The following is a 23,717-nucleotide window of genomic DNA, read 5'->3' on the forward strand; positions in this document are numbered from 1 at the left end:
TTTGGAGGCTAGAAGTCCAAGATCAAGGTGTTGGCAGCCCTGGTTCTTTCTGAAGGCTCTCTCCTTGGCTTCCAGACAGCTGCCTTCTCTCTGTGTCCTCTCATGGTTTTCTCTGTGAGCCTGTATCCGTGGTGTCTCCTTTTGTGTCCAAATTCTCCTTTTTATAAGGACTATAGTCAGATTGAATTAAGGCCCATACTAATAGCATCATTTTGACTTCATCACCTCTTTAATGCCCTATCTCCAAATATAGTCACATTCTGAAGTACTGGGATTGAGTATTTCTACACATAGATTGTGAGAGGAAACGACTCAAACCACAACAGAAACTTTAAAAATAATGGCAATGATTAAATTCAAGATTGATATTTCATATTCTCAATGGCGTCAATTTGACTAGATTAAGAAATACCTAGAGAGCTGGTAAAGTGTTATTTCTGGGTGTGTCTGTGAGGGTGTTACAGAGGAGATTGGTGTGTGAATCAGTAGACTGGGTGGGGAAAATGTACCGTCAGTGTGGCTAGGCAACATCCAACTGGCTGAGGGCCTGCGTATAACAAAAAAGCAGAAGAAGGGTGAATTCTCTCTCCCTACTGGAGCTGATACACCCTTCTTTGCCTGCCCTTGGACATCAGAACTTCAAGGCTCTCTAGCCTTTGGACTCTGAGCCTTGCACCAATGGCCTTCCAGGTTTTCAGGCCTTCAACCAATGACTGAGAGTTACACCATCAACTTCCCTGGTTCTGAGGCTTTTGGACTTGGATTTGAACTGAGTGTCTTGGGGTCGTGAATGGCCTGTTATGAAACTTCTCAGCCTCCATAAGTGCATGAACCCATGCCTCTAATTAATCTCCTCTAATCTATCTATCCGTCTATCTTCCATTGGTCATGTCTTTCTGGAGAACCCTGCCTAATGACATTACTCCAAGATTCTAAATCTGAGATCTGCATTTATTTTTAATTGGCAAATGTAGACAATTTAGAGATACAACAACAAATGGAGACTTTAGGTAATCTGAAGGATCAAAAGACAGTTGATAGAAAAATAACTTTTTATTGGGTATTAAAATGTCAATAATATTGGTTCAAGCAGTGCTTAAAATCATTTCTCATACCATCAATGGGTAAAATTAAATTTGCTCTCAGATTTTGACGTGTCAGTCACTCAATCTCATGGAGTCTGTTTTCACCCTTATGTGAATGATATCTACCCTCTCTTTTCCTTGGCTGAAATTTTGCTAAATTAATCTAATTCATATATATATATATTTTTTTTCATATATTAATCTAATTTAATTCATTTATATGCATATATATGAATTAAATTTAGCAAAATTTAATTTTGCTAAAATTTAGCAAAATTTAATTCATACATAATTATATATGAATTAATAGATTAATATTTAAATTATATATGTTTATATATATAAAATGTATCCATAGATGTTTACAGCCTTTTGTAATTTATAATATTTATAATATAAAACAGACATGATACTGTTTAACCTTCTCAAAAAGAATATAGTTTGGCCAGGTACGGTGGCTCACACCTGTAATCCCAGCACTTTCAGAGGCGGAGGCAGGCAGGTCACTTGCGATCAGGAGTTTGAGACCAGCTTGGCCAACATGGTAAAAACCCATCTCTACTAAAAATATAAAAATTAGCCGGGCGTGGTGGCATGTGCCTGTAATCCCAGCTACTCAGGAGGCTGAGGCAGGAGAACCGCTTGAACCCAGGAGGCAGAGGTTGCAGTGAGCCAAGGTCGCACCACTGCACTCTAGCCTGGGTAACAGATTGGGACTCTGTCTCAAATAATAATAATAATTAATAATTTAAAAAATATAGCTTAAGAGAAGTAAAATATTGAGTTAAATTGTCACTGTGTAATTTCTAATAATCTCATCTAGAGAGAAAATCTGGAAGTATATAATTACAAAAGTAGGACTACTCAAATAATTTACCGATTAGGTCAGATTTTTAAAAAGTCATGAATAAAAGATAGATGACAAGCTATATAATTAACATAAATACAAATAAATTAATACAAAGAAAACAATAAGTCCCAAAAGGCAAAACACCAAGATAAATGACAAAATGCTAATTTTATAATGGGAAGAATTTAAATCTGATTATATATAAAATACATATATTAAAAATACACTTGTATTTTGGTACATATATATACACTCATACATATATGATTTGGCTTCCACACCAAATCTAGCTCACAACCTGCTCGTGTACAATTTGTGAGATGGAGTACTTTTTTTTTTTTTAACACCTTTATTATTTAAAAGTCAAAAACAGATGCTGGCGAGGTTGTAGAGAAAAAGGAACACTTATACACTGTTGGTGGGAGTGTAAATTAGTTCAAGCATTGTGGAAGACAGTGTGACTATTTTTCAAAGACCTAAAGACAGAAATACCATTCAACCCAGCAATCCATTACTGGGTATATACCCAAAAGAATATAAATGATTCTATTATAAAGACTCATGCATGCGTATGTTCATTGCAACACTATTCACAATAGCAAAGACATAGAATCAACCTAAATGCCCATGAGTGATGGACTGGATAAAGAAAATTTGGTACCTAGACATCATGAAATACTATGTAGCCATAAAAAAGAATGAGATCATGTCCTTTGCAGGAACATGGGTGGAGCTGGAGGTCATTATCTCTAGCAAACTAACACAGGAACAGAAAACCAAATATTCCATGTTTTCCCTTATAAGTGGGGATACATAGAGGGGAAAAACACACACTGGGGCCTATTGGAGGGTGCAGAGTGGGAAGAGGGAGAGGATCAGGAAAACTAACTAATGGGTATTAGCCTTAATACCTGTACAACAAACCCTCATGACGCAAGTTTACCTATGTAACAAACCTGCACATGTACCCCTGAACTTAAAAGTTAAAAAAAATTTCAACATAAGTTTTGAAGGGGACATTAAAACCATAGCAAATACATATAAAAAAACCTTTCTAAATCTTCATTGTTCAAGTGCTCTATAATCTGAGTCATGAGCTCAACTGAAAAAGTCTCTGCTTTAGTGATAGATGAAAATGTATTTACTAGCAAAGCCTCTGAGAAGCCCCTGAAAATGCATAGTATTTCAAAACACAATGAATAGTTTGAGTTGGAACCGATCAGAATAGAAAATGCATCAGCATGATATGTATAAGACTGTATAAGTGTTATATTTGTCAATTAATGTAAAAATTATTACATTTATTAAATGTGATGAAAACCTCTATATATACAAAATGAATAAACTTGCATGAGGGTCACAATTCCGTTAAAGTTTCTGGCTTTGAATTAAATGTAGATAACAGTCTAATCCAGAGACTTATGAAGCATTAATGTGACATGTTAATGCCTTAAAATATATTAACAGTGAAACATTAGAGGGCATTTTAGAAGACAGCATTTCAAATGATCTAAATGTAAATTAACCTGATATATGTGGATTACACCTTTTTTATAATGCGAATGGGTTTAAAATGAAGGAAACATTGCTTTACAATAGTGAACAATTCTATACACATAACGGTTTGGGCTTTCAAACATATGTTCAAACATCTGAACAATGGTATGGTTGATTTCACAAACTCTAATTGTGTCCAGAGTCATACATTCATCATTTTGAGCAATTCTCAATGTTGGCTATTTTCAAGTGATTACACAGAAATCTTTTTGGATAGTCATACATAATGCCTTTTTATCACCTCTACAAAAAGTGAATTATAAATCAACTTAACGTGAAAATGTGTACAGATCTTAAGTTTTAACCTAGAAAGGGAACTGAAATGCAATATAAACTCCTTGTGTAAGAAGAAAAATTCACCTTGGCTTTTGCCTTCTTTTTCCTTTTGTTTTATTCTTCTCGTTGTACAAAATGTTAACTGTGTACAGGTTCTTTCCAGAACTCAGCTTTGGCACTGCACATGCTAATTTGAATATGAGAACTAATCTTAAGTGGCTCTTTTGCATTTTCTGCCAATATATGACAGATGTGCTGCACTTTGGAATCCACAACAGATATGACTTTTAGATTCTTCCTTAAACCAGGTGCTAAAAATGTGTGAAAAAGCAAAAGACATTGTTACTGAAAAGTTTAAGCCATAGAACATTTCATTAATGGTTTTGTGGATTAATTAAAGTGCATCTTGTTATAGTCATTTTCCATCTTTCTTTTATAGCAGTAGGAAGAAATATATGCAATTATTCATGACAATGCACATTCCACAGGATATACTTCCACATATCCCAGAGTATGTACACACTAAATACATATTAATGTCTACACAGATTAAAGATGTATTTAAGTAAATAAAATACCATAGGAAGTCATAATCATAGAAATATAAAAAGGTGTGACTAAATATTATATATAATAAAGGCCCTCTAAACCTAATTGTCAATGAGTATATGTGGCTAGAACATATTTATGGAATTCACATTTATGTTATGGAATTTATTATTTGATTAATGGAAGGGAATTACAACAAGGTTAACTAGTAAGTCCTTGTAATGTGCCATTTGATATGCATATAATATGTGTGTAATGTTCCATTTGATATGTATGTAATATATATGTAAAATTATGCAAATCTGATTGAGATAATAAGTAAAATTTGTCAAAGGAGTCCTAGAAAATTTACAAAATAGGTTTTAAATTTCCACTCTAGTTAAAATGATTGCAAGTCATTTCATTGTCTTTATTCTGATTTCTATTATCTAAAGATCTAGAGGATAATGTTCAGTGGTTTATGATACTAAAATTGAGATCAAAATTTGGTTGAGTTGCTTGAATTTCTTGAGAGTAATAAGTATTTATGAATATATGAAATATGAAAATGAAGGATTGTTTTCAATTTATTCAGGACAAGAAATTCTAGCAAAGTTTCAGTGATATACCAAAAATATTTTATCTAGCTGTTGAGTTGTCATGTTTTAAATGCTATGATAACCATGAGGAAGCTTCCTGGGGAATTTTTAAAGTTTTTTTTCAAGTGTATTTGTAAATATCGTAGTCCAAATATTTTATACTTGATTTACAAAAGAAGCGAAGGGTAAATGTAAGTGTTATAAAGGGCTCTTCAGTGAATTAAAGTTAGGAGAGTTGCCTGAATATTCAGGGCACAGATTGAAATGAATATAAAATTTTAAAATATGTTCAAATTCAGAACTAGTTTGAGTGGAGGAAAAGTCAGAGATAGTGCCTCTAATTTGCTATAAATGGAAGTAATTTCTATATTTTTTCATTTTTTCCCTAAATACCAAGGTATTTGCCAAATATACCCAAATAGCTAAATGATTACTTACCTATTTACAAAAAAATCCAGTTATTTTAAAATGTAATAAAAATGTTTAATTTTTTTTCTATATCCCAGATGCTATGCTACATGCCAGGGAAAGAAAAAATATAAAAGCAATGTGGTCACTTTCTTTAATATTTTGCCATCTAGGAGAGAGACTAAGTTAATATACTGTGAAAAGTGAAGATGTTAAATACAATAGAGAAAGGCATAGGATACTATAGAAGTGTAGATGATAAAAAATGACTTCCAAGCAAAACTGATAATTGATTTGAGCCTCTAAAGAAGAAAAATAGGTAACCAGGTTAAGAAATACTGTTCCACATGAAAAGAACATTGGCGGGCATGGGACATGACACAAGAAGACATGAAATGTTGGAGAATTAAAATGCACTTAGTATAATTAGATTCTAGGTTTGGATGGCAGGAGGTTGAAGGAAAACAAAGCTGGACAAGTTAGCAGGCATTGGATTGTGAAGGACACATGTCAGATAAATAAATGTATTTTGAAAAAGAATTAAGCACAGATCCATTGGAAAAGAAGTCAGTAATGGATCTAGATCAGTGAAACAGCTAGGAGTCCAAGAGAAGACCCCAGGTAATCATGTGCAAGAACAAATCATATTTTCAAACTCTAAGAGACAAACAAAGTCTCTAAATTAGAAATAAAAAATTAAGAAGTGATAATATGGACTTTAAGGTATTCTCTACAATTCCAAACAGCATCTTTTATCCCCAAATCCTTTGTTTCTCAGAAGTTGTTTTGATTGTGAGTGATGTCAGAGAATGTGCCTAAGAGAAGCCCATGGTAGAATTCCCATTCTGATAAACACAAGGATACTCTACTGTTGAATTCAAGTGGTCATAGGGGGATATATTGGTGTGGTGGATGCTGTGAAGCTCTGCCTTCACAATCCTGCTACCTCCCATTCCCCACATATTGCTGATCTTGAGAGTGCTTCCTTTATACAATTCCTGCATAACAATCCCCGTCTTGGATTCTGCTTCTCAGAGAACACATTCTGCAAACAATGGGTAGCAAAGTAAGAGAAGAGGCTGACTGACAAGCTTTTCTGCCAAGGTAAAGGGACATCCTTGCTGGTGAAGCATGCTTTCAGAGGCTGCTCCTTAGTCCGAAGAAGTCCAGAGCAATGGCTGAACAGAACCCAAGAGATTTCATGTTAGACCTGAGCATCAATAAATTTTGAGCTAAAAGGGGCTCTCAAAGACAGAGAAACTGAAGGTCAAAAAAGTCAAGATTCCCCCAAAGTTACATAACTAATTGAGAATTGGGCTGAGACTAAATTCCCTATCTTCCCACTCCCAGTCTTTTTCAATAAACCTGTGCTTTTCAAATAGATGTGCCTGCAGGATAACAGATTTGCTTGTAGTCATAGAAGAAACATAAAATGAATGGAGAATGATTTTACTTACTGTTTATATCAAAATATATGTGTTGTAGAATGTAAACACCATGTGACTTTTATGATTAAAAAGTAAGAGACTAAAGATCTTCAGAATTCAGCTATGTCTTCGGAACTGTTTTGGGTATAGTTGAATCTCCTCTGACACTAGGTATAAGTCAGTGTAAATATTTGAAATGAACTGCAGAAAGAGCCGAGAATGGTGGCTCACACCTGTAATCCCAGAACTTTGGGAGGCCAAGACAGGCGGATCACCTGAGGTCAGGAGTTTGAGACCAGCCGGGTCAACATGGCAAAACCCCATCTCTACTAAAAATACAAAAATTAGCAGGGCATGGTGGTGGGTTCCTGTAATCCCAGCTACTTGGGAAGCTGAGACAGGAGAATCCCTTGAACCCAGGAGACAGAGTTTGCAGTGAGCTGAGATCAGGCCCCTGCACTGCAGCCCGAGTGACAGAGCAAGACTCCGTCCCCCTGCCACCCCCAAGAAAAGGAACTGCAGAAAGAAATACCATTAATCCTCAAGAGTGGATTCATTTACATCTTGATAATAATGTGTTCTATCTTTATGTTAATATAATAACATCTATAAGAGGCCTTTTCCTATTTTCTCTAAATTCTTATTAAATTTTCCAAACTGCAAACAATGGGTGATAACTACCTCCCCTTCTAAAGATGGGTATTAAACATATCTAGGTGGTACATGTTCATTGGCCTAGCTACCATCTCCCCAAATCTTATGAAAGTTAGAGTTTATCAAAGAAGATGATTCTTCAGAGGAATTTAAGAGTAGAAAGCACTGAGGCATATCCTACCCCCACCACAAACCAAGTGAGGAAATCCCCAAAAGCATCATTCAGAAATAGTTGATAGTGGGACACATGCTAGCAGAGCTGAAGCAGTTTGTAGGAATCTCTGTTGTTGTAGGAATCTCTCTGTTGCTGTCTGTGTAGAGAGACTTCTTGGGAGGACTAGACACATGATCTATGAGAACTGCAGAAATCTCAGCACATAATGACTCTATCTAAGCCTCTGCATTAAGAGAGGACCACAGTCTAGCATGATCTCTAGCAGCATGAGGCCCTGTCCCTAGGATGACCCCAGTTCCCCTGCCCCTCCATTGAAATGCCTACCTGAGAAAGCTCAATACTGCCAGGTGAATTTATTTGCTTCAGCCATGCCTGAAGACAGGCCTCTGACCTCCCTTTCTTGGAGGATTTACTAAAAAGCCTTACAATCATGACTCCTTCTTGTGTCCCTTTGAGATTTATTGTATCTCTTACAACTCAGAAGTTTCTTTCTTAAAGACAGACAGAGACATTCCTTTGAAATGTAATCATCAAGAAGGACAGAACCTCTGTTCTATCCTATCTCTGTGGGAGGATAGAATCTTGACTTGGGAGAATTGCCAGCTAGCAGACACAGTTGGCCTAATCACATTTACACTGACCAACCCTTAGTAATTTTTCATTTCTCTGGCTCTACTTGAGTCCCTACTTGTCCCCCTCACTTAAAAAGACTCGATCACACAAATCAGAATGGAGCTCAGCTCTTCGCCTACTGTCAGTAGTTACTGAATAAAATCTGTTTTCACTGCTTTAAGTAATGTCTAGCCTTGTTTGCCTTTGACATTCTACAATTAGGAAGCAGGAAATGGAAACTGGGGCCTGCTTCTTGCTGGGAGAATCTTGAAAGCAGTTGGACAGCTGGAGTAGCCGGCAAAGTTATTGAAGAAAGTGAGAATTCACCCATGGGTTTATTTACACTTCTCTTAGTTGGCAGAACCGTGATGCCTGAGATTTTCTGGGATCCAATTGATGATGAGGAAGGTAACACGGCTCAAGTCATCTAGAAATAACCTTGTCTAATAACATGTCAACCTTGTCATGTGCACCAGCCAAAAACAGCAGGCATGTACTTCCCTGAGAGCTGCTAAAGAGAGTTTGCAGGATATTAGCTGAGAGGGCAAAACCTACAACAGGGAAAGGTGTTGTGGGGAATCACCAACAAACCACTGATGCAGCCGCAATGACAGAATGCATTTGCTGCCCATGCGGAATTATAATGAGCACCTGCTAAGGAATATGACTTTTGATGCTTTTCCTGATTTCTACTATCCTGATCTGACCTTGAAGACTCTAGCTTTGAGGAGGAAGTGGATCAAAGGGAAGGGCAGAAGGGTGTGGACAGTTTCAAATTGAATATAAGAGGGAAGTTTTAAATTGGATTAGATTTTTCAATACCTACAAGTGACCTGAGAGCTATGGGATATTCCCAGGTTGTCACAAACTAAGAGGGTAGAGAAATCTGATAGAACATTTCAATAGTCAGTGTTAGAAGAAATGAAATTATTCTTGAGTACAATCTACCAAGTCAGGTCATTTAATAACTGAATGCATTACTATCTCAATATAGATGACATTATTTTTGTTTTTGTTTGTTAAGAAAGAATTTTTATAGCAGCATGATTTATAATCCTTTGGGTATATACCCAGTAAAGGGATAGCTGGGTCAAATGGTATTTCTAGTTCTAGATCCCTGAGGAATCGCCACACTGACTTCCACAATGGTTGAACTAGTTTACAGTCCCACCAACAGTGTAAAAGTGTTCCTATTTCTCCATATCCTCTCCAGCACCTGTTGTTTCCTGACTTTTGAATGATCGCCATTGCGCATGTATGTTTACTGTGCCACTATTCACAATAGCAAAGACTTGGAACCAACCCAAATGTCCAACAATGATAGACTGGATTAAGAAAATGTAGCACATATACACCATGGAACACTATGCAGCCATAAAAAATGATGAGTTCAAGTCCTTTATAGGGACATGGATGAAGCTGGAAACCATCATTCTCAGCAAACTACTGCAAGCACAAAAAAACAAATAGCGCATGTTCTCACTCATGGGTGGGAATTGAACAATGAGAACACATGGACACAGGAAGGGGAACATCACACACCAGGGCCTATTGTGGGGTGAGGGGGAGGGAGAGGGATAGCATTAGGAGATATACCTAATGTTAAATGACAAATTGGTGGGTACAGCACACCAACATGGCACATGTATACATATGTAACAAACCTGCACATTGTGCACATGTACCCTAAAACTTAAAGTAAAAAATTTTAATAGAAATGTATAGCAGTTTGAGATAACAATTTTTGGCATTAAATACACCTTGGTTGGAGTTCTTGCTTTGGTAATCACAAATTACTGAGTTCTGGTTTGTTGACCCCACAAATTATTTTCTCTGTGCTCAGTTTTTTCACCAGGAGAATGGGAATATGAATAGTTATAGTTTACATATTTTGTGGTATATTCCCAGCCCACTGTAATTCTTCCTTCTTGGGCAGCTGCTTTCTAATCTGCAGGTAGATCAATGAGCTGACTTTCAGCAGACTGGCTGGCATGGCATACTTTGGGCTAGAGCCATTGGATGAGGGGTAGTTCCCTTAGCTAAACTGGACAGCCAGTATCTCTTCCCCAGGTTCAATCTAAGAATGGTTCAGCCCTTCCTTGGGAGAAGGACTCTACAATGTTCATTCAAAATCCGTTGTCAATCAGGACATGGTAGGAAAAATGAAACATGACTCGAACAGAGAAAATACTGAGAGTGCCTTTGTTCCTAGTTGTAGTTCCCTTCTGCAAACATCTTTGCATGCTCATTCTAGGGTTCTATGAGATTCCATCTTTATATTCATATAATAAGTTTGAATCTAACGTTGTTTATTTTAACTTGGATTAGATAGGTAGAATAGTTCAAAAAGCTTGGATTCCAATCTCAATTCCAGAATTTACTGGCTGAGTAACCATGGACAAAACACTTAAACTCTCTCCTCCATTTTTTCTCTTGAATTACGGGGATAGGATAATATTTACTTCAAAATCACACTATCACACTGATTCATGAGGATTAAATGAGTCACTGCAAGTTACTTATTATTGAGTTGGTTTCTATAACTTGGAGACAGAAAAAACCTTCAACTAATAAATTATCACTTGATTCACAGAATTGGTGTGTGGAATGAAAGAGAAAATGCATGAAAAGAGTTTAGGACAGTGTGTATGTACCAATTGTACAATGGTAAATATTAGCTGTTATTATCTATTGCTTTCCTATTTCTTAGTTACTACATTTGTACTATGGTTTGAATGTGCACCCCCAAAACATGTGTTGGAAACTTACTCCTCAGTGCAACAATGTTGGCATGTTCGGTGTAATGAGAGGTGATTAGGTCACGAGGACAAAGTGAATGGATTTATGCCAGTATCACAGGAGGGAATTCATTATAAAAGGGGTAGTTGGGCTCCCTTTTTCTTTTTCTCTTTCATTGTTTTTCTGCCCTTTTGTCTATTATCATGGGATGATACAGCAAGAAGGCCCTCACCAGATGTGACCTCCTCAATCTTGGACTTTCTAGTCTCCAGGACTATGAACCATTAAATTTCTGTTTATTATAAATTACCTAGTCTGTGGTATTCTGTTATAGCAACAGAAAATGGGCTAAGACAATCTGATATTACAGTAGTTTTTCCTTATTTTCTGTTTTGCTTTCCTCAGTTTCAGTTACTCCATGGGCAAATGCCATCCAAAAATATTAAATAGAAAATTCCAGAAATAATTCACACATTTTAAATTGCACACCTTTCTGAGTACCGTGATGAAATCTCACACCATCCCCATCCATCCCACCTGGGATGTGAAAAATTCCTTTGTCCATTTTATATAAGAAACTTGATTGTTTATGGTATCTGAGAGGAGTCCTGGAGCCAATCTCCCGTAAATACAAAGGATGACTGGATATAGGGCTTGGTATTATTTGAGGTTTCAGGCATCCACTGCGGGACGGTCTTAGAATTCTATCCCCTGTGGAGTAGTGGGGACTACTGTAATCTTCAGAAACATTGAGATTACACAAAGTTTCCATTTCCTACTTTTAAACCACAGGCAGTCAAGAGAACTGCAGGCAAAAGGTGGCATATTTGTGTGAAGATTAATTTCCATATTGCCTCATATCTCTTCATATTTATTCAGGTCCATATCTATGATCCTAGGACAGAGAATAGAGACATTCACAGAGAAAACTTACCAAAATAGATTAAAGCAATTGAAATTGATTTAATATTCCCAGGACAGTTAAATAATAAATTCTTCTACTCAGATAGTTTTCAATTTCATTAATAAGATTGTATTTACAAGTAAGGGCATGATGTTGTCTTTTACATATAAATTCTTAAATTAAGTTTTTCCTATCAAAGGCACATCGCATGTTGACAACAATGTCTGAAAATGAATTTCCCAGAGACCACACGTTTTGTTCTTAATTATCTCTGCTCATTATAGTTTTTCCTTGTTGTTTTGCCATTGTGTAATAACATTTTAGGTCAGGTTCACATTAGCCCTTGTTTTTACTGTTGGTCTGTTTTCATATCATCCAAATTTATACTCTTCAATCCTTTTCCCTGATTTATTCCCATTAACTAGAGAATAGTATTTTCTTACACATCCTTACTATTTTATTGTAAATAGTATAATACAAAAATATTAATGTAGTTCCTCTACCATTATTTAAAATGTTAATATGTTAAATGACATTGAGATTCTCAACTAAACCCTATTAATTTAGTTATCTGAAAATGTGTTCTCCTATGGAAAAGCATAGTGTTTTCTTTGAAAGACTATGAGTTGCAGTATCAGAAAAAATAGCCATATTTAGCATTTGGCCATAAAACTTTATTGAAATTCATGAGATGAGGGACAATAGGCTGATTACAAATTTAAAATACATCAGTGAATGAAATTAGAGGCATTGATTTTTCTTCAGTAATTTGTTTTAGTCTTATATTAAGTCCAAGAAAATTATCGGTACTTACAGTTTTCCTTTTAAAAAAAACTCATAAAAATCATTCTTATATACTCATGTTCATGACAGCATACTATTCTCTTTGGAACTTTCTTTCCTCTGCTTTTCAAAGTTCTGGTGACTTTCTATTTTTTAAGTTTTGGCTTAAATGGCATTTCCTCATTGTAGATTTTTAAAAAGGCCTTTCTCCACTCCCAGTGCACCCCGTCCTGGAACCATTAAAAATTAAGTTGCATGATCACTGAATACCAATTTTTTTCTCATTCTTCCCACTGTTTAACCATTGTCACTTAAAAGTGATTTCTCTGGCAGTATATAAGAAATTATAATGATATTTTCTACTTTCCATTTTTGTTAGCAAATTTATTTTAGAAAAAAATGCTTTTAAACATGTCTGTCAATTAAAAGGACAATTAGTAAATTCATCAAATGTTAAGTTTCTATACCTAGAGTAAAATGCGTATCCTCTAGAGATAATTTGGTACAATTGAGGTCATTAGTATCTTATCTGTTTATGCAATTGTTTATTACAAGTATATACAACTCAATATATTTTTCTTGCAATTCAACTTGGAATATACCCCTGAAAAACTCTGGGGGACACATGCTGTGGTACATTTTCTGTATGGACCTTGTATTCTAGTTCTACACTTGTCTTTAACTAGTAGTTTACTTAAGTTACTAAACTTTTTTTGAACATTGTTTCTGCACCTCTAAAATGTTAGTTTCAATAGTGAATGATTTTAATAATTCTACAAAAACTTTAAACATGTACTTTATTTATCTTTTATGTGTCAAATTATCTTTATGTGTGGGTATACACGTAATGTATATAATAATTGTATTAAAAACAAATAGGAATGCATGCAATGAAGTCATGGCTGTTAAGAAATTTAGCCCTGAATTAGAAATATAAGATAAATCATACTTCCCAGTGTGCATGCATACATGTACTTGCAAATGTTTAGCTAGTTGATCATTCATGCTTTGACTGTAACCTTTTGTAGAATAGGCCTATATCATTTTCTTTATTATCCATATCTTTTGTGCCATGGTCAAGTTTTACTGCATATAATTCAGTTTTTCTGTGAATAGGTGGGGCAGAAGATAGTGCCAAAAAGAAAGAATGGAACCTTTACTGTGACTTGTTTTCTATAATCACATTTTATACCACATATTTTTGTTCACAAAATAATACATGAAAGGACATAAGCCTTATCCAGTCTGGTAAATTTTGGGTTAAAAAAATCTATACTGTATTCTGCACAAGAGAACACAAAGATCTTCTATGCTTCCAAATTATTAGAAAGCATTAGGGTTAAAAGAGTTTTCATCCTATTTTTTGGCCTGTTGTAATTATTTCTCAATTTTTCTCCCCATCTCATCTTCTTCCCCACCATAATCCTTTCTATATTCTACTCTCAGATCTATCATTCTGAAGTCCAATTCTGGTCATTATGTCTTTTGATTGATTGAAAACCATTCTAATGTTTTATATTTTAATCTGTCATTTAGGGTTCTCTGCCATATGAATCACACCTGAATTTCCAGCTTTATTTCTCAGTCGATTCCATATGTGCCCTGCTCCCAAACTAAACTAGACAGCTCTCTTCTCCTTCAAGTATTTGTTCATTCTGGTTTCTTTTAAGTATCATTTAAACTGATCCTTTTAAGTACCATTTAAGATAATATTTTCTCCATAAAATATTTTTCTCGATGACCTAAATTGAAAGTAAAGGGAAAAATCTTTGTTTATGGAAATGTTTTGGTGATGTATTTACATTGTGTTTGCACAGATGAAAGGCAACAAAAAGTTTTGCTAAACTATTCTGCAAAATAAATGGACATAAAAGACAGAAATCCAGGGAGAAAAAAAATGTGCACACATGCTATGAATGCCTTTTGTGAATGATTTTTTTTTTGTGTTGAAATAAAGAAGAGGCCTGTTTTGTGATATCTTGGTGGATTGTATTGTCTAGTTACTATTTCACAAGCCCAAGGAAAAATGGCCCCTCTTGTTCCTCTCCTTCTCTTGCACAGGCAGTGGGTTAGCATATGGTTGAGGTTTTGCCAATTAGTCAATTTCAGACTGTCTCCTGGGACTCTGAATCTTGAGCAAGTGGCTCAGAACATGGCACATGTCCAGTGCTGGGGGCGGATAGACCAGTCTGCTCCTAGATCAGCCTCATTATAGCTCTTGTTCCCTGGCTTTCCAGAACATTGAACATCCTTTGATACATTTTCTAAGCTGATTTCATTTACTTCCCTCAATTTGATGAACACTAGATATCCACTCAATAGGTTTCCTTTTTCGTGTAATCATGTAAGTCTCCTGAAAGATGACCAGAGGTCCTGTGGTAGGCAGAATAATGGCCTCCTGAAGATGTCCAAAGCCCAATTCCTGGAAACTGTGCCTATTCCCCTTTACATGACAAAGGGGAATTGGGGATGCAGATGGAATTAAGATTGCTAACCAGCTGACTCTGAGATACAGAGATTATCCTGGATTATCTCAGTGGGCCCTATATAATCACAAGCATCCTTAAGTGTAGTAAAGGGTGGTGTAAGAGTATGTCTGAGAGATACAATATGAGAAAAATTAGACTTCCCATTGCTTTCTTTGAAAATAGATGGGATCATGAGCCAAAAGATGCAGACATCTTCTAGAAGATGGAAAAAACAAGGAAATGCATTCTCCCTTAGATACTCCAGTAAGGAACACATCCCTGTCAAAACCTTGATTTAAGCTCACTGAGGATTGTGTCATAGTTATAAGTATGAGAATAGGGAGCAGGCTGTCTTTGTCTCCAGCTGAGCCCAGTGTTCCCTGCTGGAGAATGTAGTAGTTCATAGTGAAGAGCAGAGCAGGTTATAAACCTCCAGTCTACCTCTGACTTCAAAAATGAAATCCCCTGTCTTTGATAATAGGTAATCTTGTCTCCTTTTAGTCACTGTTCTTGACTTCAATTCCCATTTATTTTCAATTTAACATCTCAGTATTTCAGCCATTGTCATTTACTAATAAATATGCAGCATTGCTCTCTGATTTCATACAGATTTTCAGACATGGATATTAACATTTGAAAAGGCAAACACCTGTTTCTTGGTCCTTTTCTGATGATGTAGACCATCAGTTCTCTGGAAGAGATAAATCTCTGTTGTAAGAACTTTACTAATGCTCTGTTTCCCTTGCCTTCTTAGCTATGGAATACCTGACACTCAGACATCTGATTTAAAGTTAATAAATAAATTCGGACTACTCTTGTACACTTTTAATATATTCCAGTTATGGCAAAGCAAAGATATCAAGGCAGTCTATTTTTTTAACAAGACAAAACACCTAGTAAAGCCTCTCACTTTTATTTCTACTTTTGTAATTTCCTCAGTACAGTTAACCTTTAAATATATATGTAATATATGTAGATAGAATATCAATTAAAACAAAATATTTCTTGCTGTTAATGTACGGCATTTAAATACTCCTTTATTTTACTATTTATAAAACTGTTTTATAGAACACTAAAAGGTATGGGCCTGTTTAAAAATGTTAATCTTATAATTAATAGTCAGAGGCATACGCTTTTCCCCAACACAAGGCACTGATATTCTAAATCTGTCATTCTGAACTTTACAGTAGGAGACAGCCATCTGCCTGCATGCAGCCATATAAAACAAAGCAAGAATATATGCTCTTATGTTTCCCTTGGTGAGATGTAGGATCATTATGATAAAGTAGGCAACAAGGTTTAGCTAATATGAATTAAGATAGCATGTGTTGAAGAAAAAAAGAGCATATTAAATCAAACTAATTCTATAAGTCAACGTTATTAGCTGATTGGATGTGGATGATTTGATAAAGTAGAGCAGCATATGATGTAATGTCAAGTAGATGGGAAATATGTCTGTGGGTGACCCATTCCTTAGTCTCATAGCTCCAGAAACCCTTTCTCTGTGTTACTGGATCTAGTGCTATTTTAGTTAAGGCCTATACTTTAATTGACAACTCTATTTTGCTGTGTAACATGAAAGTTGTTAAAATAAAATATTTTAACATTCTTTCACAGGTTAAGAATATTAACTAGAAGTAAAAAGGAATGAGGCTTGGGAAGAAAAATCAGTTTCCAACATATCTTTATATCTAGATGTCTACGCAATTATATATTTTTTCAGTCATGTTCTTTCATCAGTTATGTCTAGATTTTTCTGAAATTTAAATACTCTAAAATCTGCTTTTTATATTTTAGTTTAAGTGAAATCATTATGAAAAGATATGACCACTCAGACACAATTTTTTGGGCTCACCCAATGTGTTTTTCAGTTTAATTTTATGGGGATTATGATATCTTCTTCATTAAAAACTTACTAGATCAACATTAACTTCTTTGGTTTGACGATTTTTGAAATCTTATTTTTTAAAGAAAACTCTCTTTTCTTCCTAAAGCAAAGTTTTTTTTTCATAAACAGATGACAGAGTGGAAGAATTTAAAAATTTTGTTATGCCATCACATTAAATTTGATTTTCCAGCTAGTACAGTAATATAGCATGGTGGTTAAATGTGAAATCTGGATTCAGCCAAGATTACTTCTAATCCCATTTCTACCATGTACAGACTGTGTGACCTTGACAAAGTAATTTAACAACTCAAGGCTTTAGATCTCTCATTTGTAAATGGGGGTAATTTAGAGAGCCTACTTCAGCAGGGTTATTCTGAGGGTTAAGTGAAATAAGATGTATGAAGCACTCAGTGTAGCATCTGGTAAATCAGGACTCTTCACAATAATATTATGCAAATTTCATTCCTGAAGCAGAAGTTCATATATTTTAGGTGTTGATTGTACTCAATAAGGGATTCATTTAAACATTATTTTCATGGCACTCTGTCTGTAAATTCTGATTTATCTGTAAATCGTAAGCATTTAATACTAAGAACATTTCTAAGAAGTTATATAAATATAAGTATAATAAATATAAATAGAGAAGATTTAGGGACTGTTTATCCAAAGCAAGGTTTTTACCAGGCAATTGAAACAATTTGAAAATGGCATATAATAATTATTGAAATTTACACTTAAATTTCATCATCTATAGCATGATTCAGGTTTCATCTGGCCAACCTGAGTCATGCTATAAAAAATGACATCCTAGGACCAGATTCCTGAATTACAGACCTTAGGCAGTAGCAGTAGTCGACATGTGTCAGTATGGATTCTAAGGCACACAACATCACAGATTACATTTAGAGCAATAGGTTGAAAACACAATCCTGCCCTTGGCTTTCTTTATGACAGAAAGAGGCAAGATACTCTATTCAAATGTAAAGAGTAAATGGTTAAAAATAAATATTCATCACTTTAATATTTACGAATAAAATTTCAGTTCTGAACATGCATATCATATGGCACTCTATGTACTATACTGAAACATTTTCCAAAAGAGGCAACAACAAAAAAATTACGGATAATATTATGATAATCTAAAAATAGTCCTATTACATTAATTTTGTTTAGTATATCATGTGCCTCAGTATTAATGAATTAAAGTTATTCTTCAAATGCAATTTTGTAATTACTAATTATTGATAAAAATATTAGTCATAGTGTCTGATTATCATGTACTTTTAAAAAAGAAATACTCTATAGATTACTTAATGGTTAGCAAAACATTATCCAATTTATTAGTTTTTAAAATATTATAAATTCAGCAAGAAAAATAGTTAAAAACTTAAGAAGTATAAAATGATTAATAATATGAAAACATAATTTCTACAGCAAAAATAGGATAGATTTCCAATTCTTTTCCTGAGGTCACTTTCCTATATTCTGCCACCAAAACATCAAATACAATTAAACCTCCGTGAAACCTTGCTTAACTCCAAAAATCCTCCATTGTTTTTTTCTGGAAGAAAATACAGTTACTCTATGAAGTGTTAAAGATACTAGGTAAAGAGTTAAAGGAGAGAGAATTGGAGATTCAGTGGGACAGAGAGAAATGATGGCTTAGAGGGTCATTGCTAGTGTAATACGTGTGTATGACCAGGAGATACACTAACATTAAAAAATTAAAATAGGCCAGTCACAGTGACTCACATCTGTAATCCCAACACTTTGGGAGGCTGAGGCGGGTGGATCACCTAAGGTTTTAGGAGTTTGAGACCATCCTGGCTAACGTGGTGAAATCCTGTCTCTACTAAAAATACAAAAGTTAGCTGGGTGTGGTGGCTAATGTCTGTAATCCCAGCTACTCTGGAAGCTGAAGTAGGAGAATCACTTGAACCTGGGAGGTGGAGGTTGCAGTGAGCCAAGATCATGCCATTGCACTCCAGCCTGGGCGGCAGAGCGAGACTCCATCTCAAGATAAATTAATAAATAAGAGTATTTTTTAAGACTCCACCTAGCACAAAATTAAAAAGATAAAAAGCCCTCTCAGAATTTTAAATAGTTAAATGTAGATCTAAAACAGCTTTACAACCCAAATTATCTCCCTAGATCTCTCTACTCAAAGAATATAATATAAATGGCCTTAAATTATAGCAGAAAGCAAACATCATGATATTTTGCAAACACATGAAATACTTTTCTCAAAATCAAGCCATAGTGATGTATCTTCAGAGCATTTTATAGATAAAATCAATTTTGAAGAACACTTATATGATGTCTTAAGAGAAACATGAAAATAGACTGTGTTTCCATTTCTGTGCCTTTTACTATATTTGCTTGCTTACTTAGCTAAATATTAAACATTCACAGTCACACAAAGTCATTGTGGAAGAAGGGTGGAATAACACACATGCACACACATCCACATCCACACACATGCACATACATACACATACACAAACACACCCCTTTGAATTAACATTAGGATGTCCCACATTTTAGCGCTTAAATGGGAATTTATTAAATACAGTCTTGGATAAGTAATAAAATTATCTGCTATCTGAATCATAATTCAGTAGTAATCCCCATCCCTTCCTCCCTAATTTAGAACTGGAGATTAGTTGTATAGACACAATGACACTTCAGCTATCAGTGCAAGGACAACAAGTCAGCTGCAGCATGACTTAATGCCTTTGTAATCTGTCCAGGGTGTTTCTGGCTTTAGTTGTCTAGCATTTCCCTAATTAACTGAAAACATCTTAGGAGGCTATTAGATGTTGACAATAGGAGAATATATTTTTTTCATTCATTAACAGCTTCATTAATGTTAAAACCATATTCTTAAGCATCAAAAGTTAATGTACTATTCTTAAACACTAAATTCAAATATGAGGATTTGCATATGAAGTATATAAGTGTGGCTATTTGGCAATTAAGCAATAAAATAGTATTAATTAGAACCTAATTGTCTCTGTGGAAACAAAGGAAAGATTCACCATAATTTTAGAAGTAACTACATAAAAAACACTATGTTTGAATTTTAACTTCTATTTTATATGGCAATTGGAAATATATGTTGAATGGCATTCCTAATGCAGAAAACATCTTAGGTTTGCTTCTACAATACTAAACTGAAAGTATTCGATCAGAATTCATTTTTAAATAAAATTATACAGCTGTTTCTTGTTTGTGCTAGTACCCATCACTAAGTTTACAATACATTTCAACTCCTGTCCATTCTCTGGAGAGGTTTTTAAAAAGAAATACAAAAGGGTAATGAAGATTGATTACCTTTTTCACAGAAGCGGCCAGTGAAATGTAGTGGACAGTCACATTGGAATGACACTATGCCACTGGAGAGGAAGATGGCATGGCATGTGCCTCCATTGTGGCATACATCCTGCTGGCACACAGAGGGTGCTGCAACAGAGGGGCTGACAGAAGTCCACATGGTATCAACCCCTTGTGTCACATCAGAAGCATCAACAAAGGAGGCTGTTGGAGACAGCATAAATCCCTGGGATCTGTGATTTATAAACAGACAAGAAAACAAAATATAAGTAAAAGCACTAGGAACATAAATAGAAATAATAGAAAATTTGATTTAATATAAGAGAAAATGAAACCAATACTGATCAAGGTTTAACTGAGGACAAATAAAATTATCATGTTTGTTTCACAATTATGAGATTTGTAAATGTTAAAAATTTCTGAGCCACATAACATGACCCTGTAGTAGTAAGAAACGTGGAAGAAATAACCTTCATAAACTTGTCAGTTGTTTTATGGAAAAAACATAGTCCTCCTTTAGCTGTTACAAATCTTATGAGCCTAAGATCAAGAATTAGGTCATGTTACATCTTCATGCTAAGATTGTTTGAACTTGAAGGATTTCTGAGTTAACTGCTAGAAATGTGCATTCATTAGTCTGACTTAGCATTAATTTCTGGGAGCTATCCAAGAGGTACCTTAGAAATACCCATAAATATTCCCTAATTTTTTTTTTACAAATTTTAATACCAGTTTAATTTTTTCTTTACAATAAATAATGAACAACAACAAAAGTCTCTCTGAATTATGTGAAATTTCCTACTTTTACATTCAAAACCCCTTGACAATCTGATTCATCCCTGCTCTTCCAGCCTACTTTATCATGATTCCTAATAAGTACCTTAAATTCTCTCAAACCAAATAAGATTGCTATTCCTTAAAGATGCTGAAATTTCCTAATATTGGAAGTTTGTTTAATATACTTTTTATGCCTTGTTATTCCTCAATTCCTGTCTAAATTTCACCTACAGTGCTAAGCCCACGCCTGCATTATTTTTTGTCCCTGGCCCAACAAGATGAAACTGTAGTATAGTTATTTTGTGTGTAGCCTCTACTATTTAGATGTATATATTCATTGTTTTTTCTTTCTCCCTCCACACAAAAGTTTCTCATTTTATCAGAAATCTTTATTCATAATACTTAAGAAAATTTGTTGAATTAATGTGTTCAGCATACTCATGAGTTTCATATACTGTCTGGGAAGGTTTTTAGAATTTCACTTAATATAATAATGAGATAATTATCTTTTTAATGTAAAAAACCTTGTGCAATAAAAATCAACAATTAAACATAATAAATTTTTATTTTATACCTTGTCATAAAGATAAAACCTTAGCAAAAGAAGTCACTTCAAACATTCCCCAACTGATCTTAGAGACTTAAAAAGCTATTTTTATATCTACTACGCACGTTAATGTCAACTTATTGGAACAAAAGATTTAAAGAAGATGAAATAGATAATTTATATTTTACTGATACATTAATGTGCAGGTCAGTTCTTTCGCAACCTGAAATTCTTCTTTATGGTGTTCATCACAGATTGTACCAATATATTTATTTTCATGATTGAGCCTGACCTGCTTTTCTTTCCTCTGGATTGCAATCTACATGAAGGATGGTGGGATGACTTCTGTGCTTTTCTTCATTTTATTCCTAACGATGCTTGATCTCTAGTAGGCTCTCCAGTAAATATTGTATAAATAATTTTGAATCTTTTTTTTTGTAAATATGCAATGTATCACACTACTTTCTGTTATTGTTGTTGTTTGTTTGTTTGGGATGAAGTTTTACTCTTATTGCCGAGGCTGGAGTGCAATGGTGCGATCTCAGCTCACTGCAGCCTCCACCTCCCGGGTTCAAGCAGTTCTCCTGTCTCAGCTTCCCGAGTAGCTGGGATTACAGGCACCCGCCACCATGCCTGGTTAATTTTTTGTATTTTCAGTATAGACGGGGTTTCCCCATGTTGGACAGGCTGGTCTCGAACTCCTGGCCTCAGGTGATCCACCAGCCTCGGCCCCCCCAGAGCATTGGGATTACAGGTGTGAGTCACTGCACCTGGCCTGTACCACACTACTAAAGAAGAACAATAGCAGTGAAATAATTTTGTCACCCCAGGTTAATTTTATAGCTCCATTATGTAACTCTTTAGTTTTATAAATAATATAAGTTCTAACACTTTTGATATAATTTTGTAATCAACTTTCTCTGATATTGCTCTATCAGAAAATTAGCATACATCTTCCTATTAGTCCTTGCGATATAAGTTTGTCTCTTTAAGGCAACTTTCATCAAGTTAAATGGCAATGCTAATATGAATGACATGGGATTTATTACTCAGTATTCTGAATTCTAATTTAATTTTTAGTTTTAATGTTTCTGAATAATTTCACCATTTCTAACATTTGCCATGGACTTCATGAACTGCAGTCTGTCACCACTTTCTCAGGAATAAATTAGAATTAAATGCCACTACTTCTTTCTCCTGCTGTAGCTGCTCAGGGAGCCTATGTCTCACCTGAAAAAAATCAATATTTTGCACATTTCAGTTAAGTGATTGCACAAAAATAATTGCTATCAATTGATCCGAAAACATCAGGATCACAAATCAATTTTTGAAAGAAACATTAATCATTTGATCTTTGTTATAAAGATCAAATTTCATATCTGATATATGATAATTAATAGTCTTTGGCTTTCAGTTTTATTTTTGGAAGTTATAGATGATGTCACAAATTTACTTGTTTTAAAATTTAGAATGAAATAAAATGTATTCAATTTGTTATATATTTAAAAAGGAAAATTAGTTCACACTGCTAAAATTTTACCTTATTTTTACATACAGTTTAAAAATATCAAGTGACTGTGGAGGTTTATTAAACATAACTAGATGTTGGACTTAGTAATATAATTAGCAATGTAAAAAAGGAACAGTAAAATTACCATTTTTAAAATTCTAGAAATCATAAATGTATGAGAGTTTAGAAAATAGTAAGTGTGAAAATCTGTCTGATCGTTTCTTAGGTAACTTTGTATAAGGATACAGTGACAAACCAGCCATTATTATAACAAGAAATTAGTCTTCAATAACTTTTTCTTAATGAATTAGTGTCTGAATAACATATGCTCAATGGATTCAAAACCAAACTTGATCACTGGAGAAAGACACCTTGATAGGACAGCAATTTCCAGTCGTGTTGGGGAACTCTAGTTGGAACAGGAAAGGAACACACACTACTTATTTCAATCCCACAGCAAGCAGCCTGTGAAAACCATGGGGCTAAACACTTCACATTGCTTCAGCCTGAAGGATTTTGCTCATTGCCAGCTGACTTTACCACTGCTCAACAGACATTTGTCTGGCACAAATGTTTAGAAGGAAGAGTGGGCTCACA

General features: G+C 34.7%; 1 protein-coding gene across 2 annotated transcripts in view; it reads right to left on the bottom strand.

The window, feature by feature from the left end:
• EYS (eyes shut homolog) overlaps window positions 1-23,717 on the bottom strand; it is a 1,987,247-nt gene that overhangs the window by 490,326 nt on the left and 1,473,204 nt on the right. For both annotated transcript variants that reach the window (NM_001142800.2, NM_001292009.2), the window contains exon 31: window positions 20,287-20,519. In NM_001142800.2, the coding sequence (NP_001136272.1) occupies window positions 20,287-20,519 (233 nt within the window). The remainder of the gene's footprint in view (window positions 1-20,286; window positions 20,520-23,717) is intronic.

The sequence above is a fragment of the Homo sapiens genome, chromosome 6 (genome assembly GCF_000001405.40).
Source record: "Homo sapiens chromosome 6, GRCh38.p14 Primary Assembly".
NCBI lineage: Eukaryota > Metazoa > Chordata > Mammalia > Primates > Hominidae > Homo > Homo sapiens.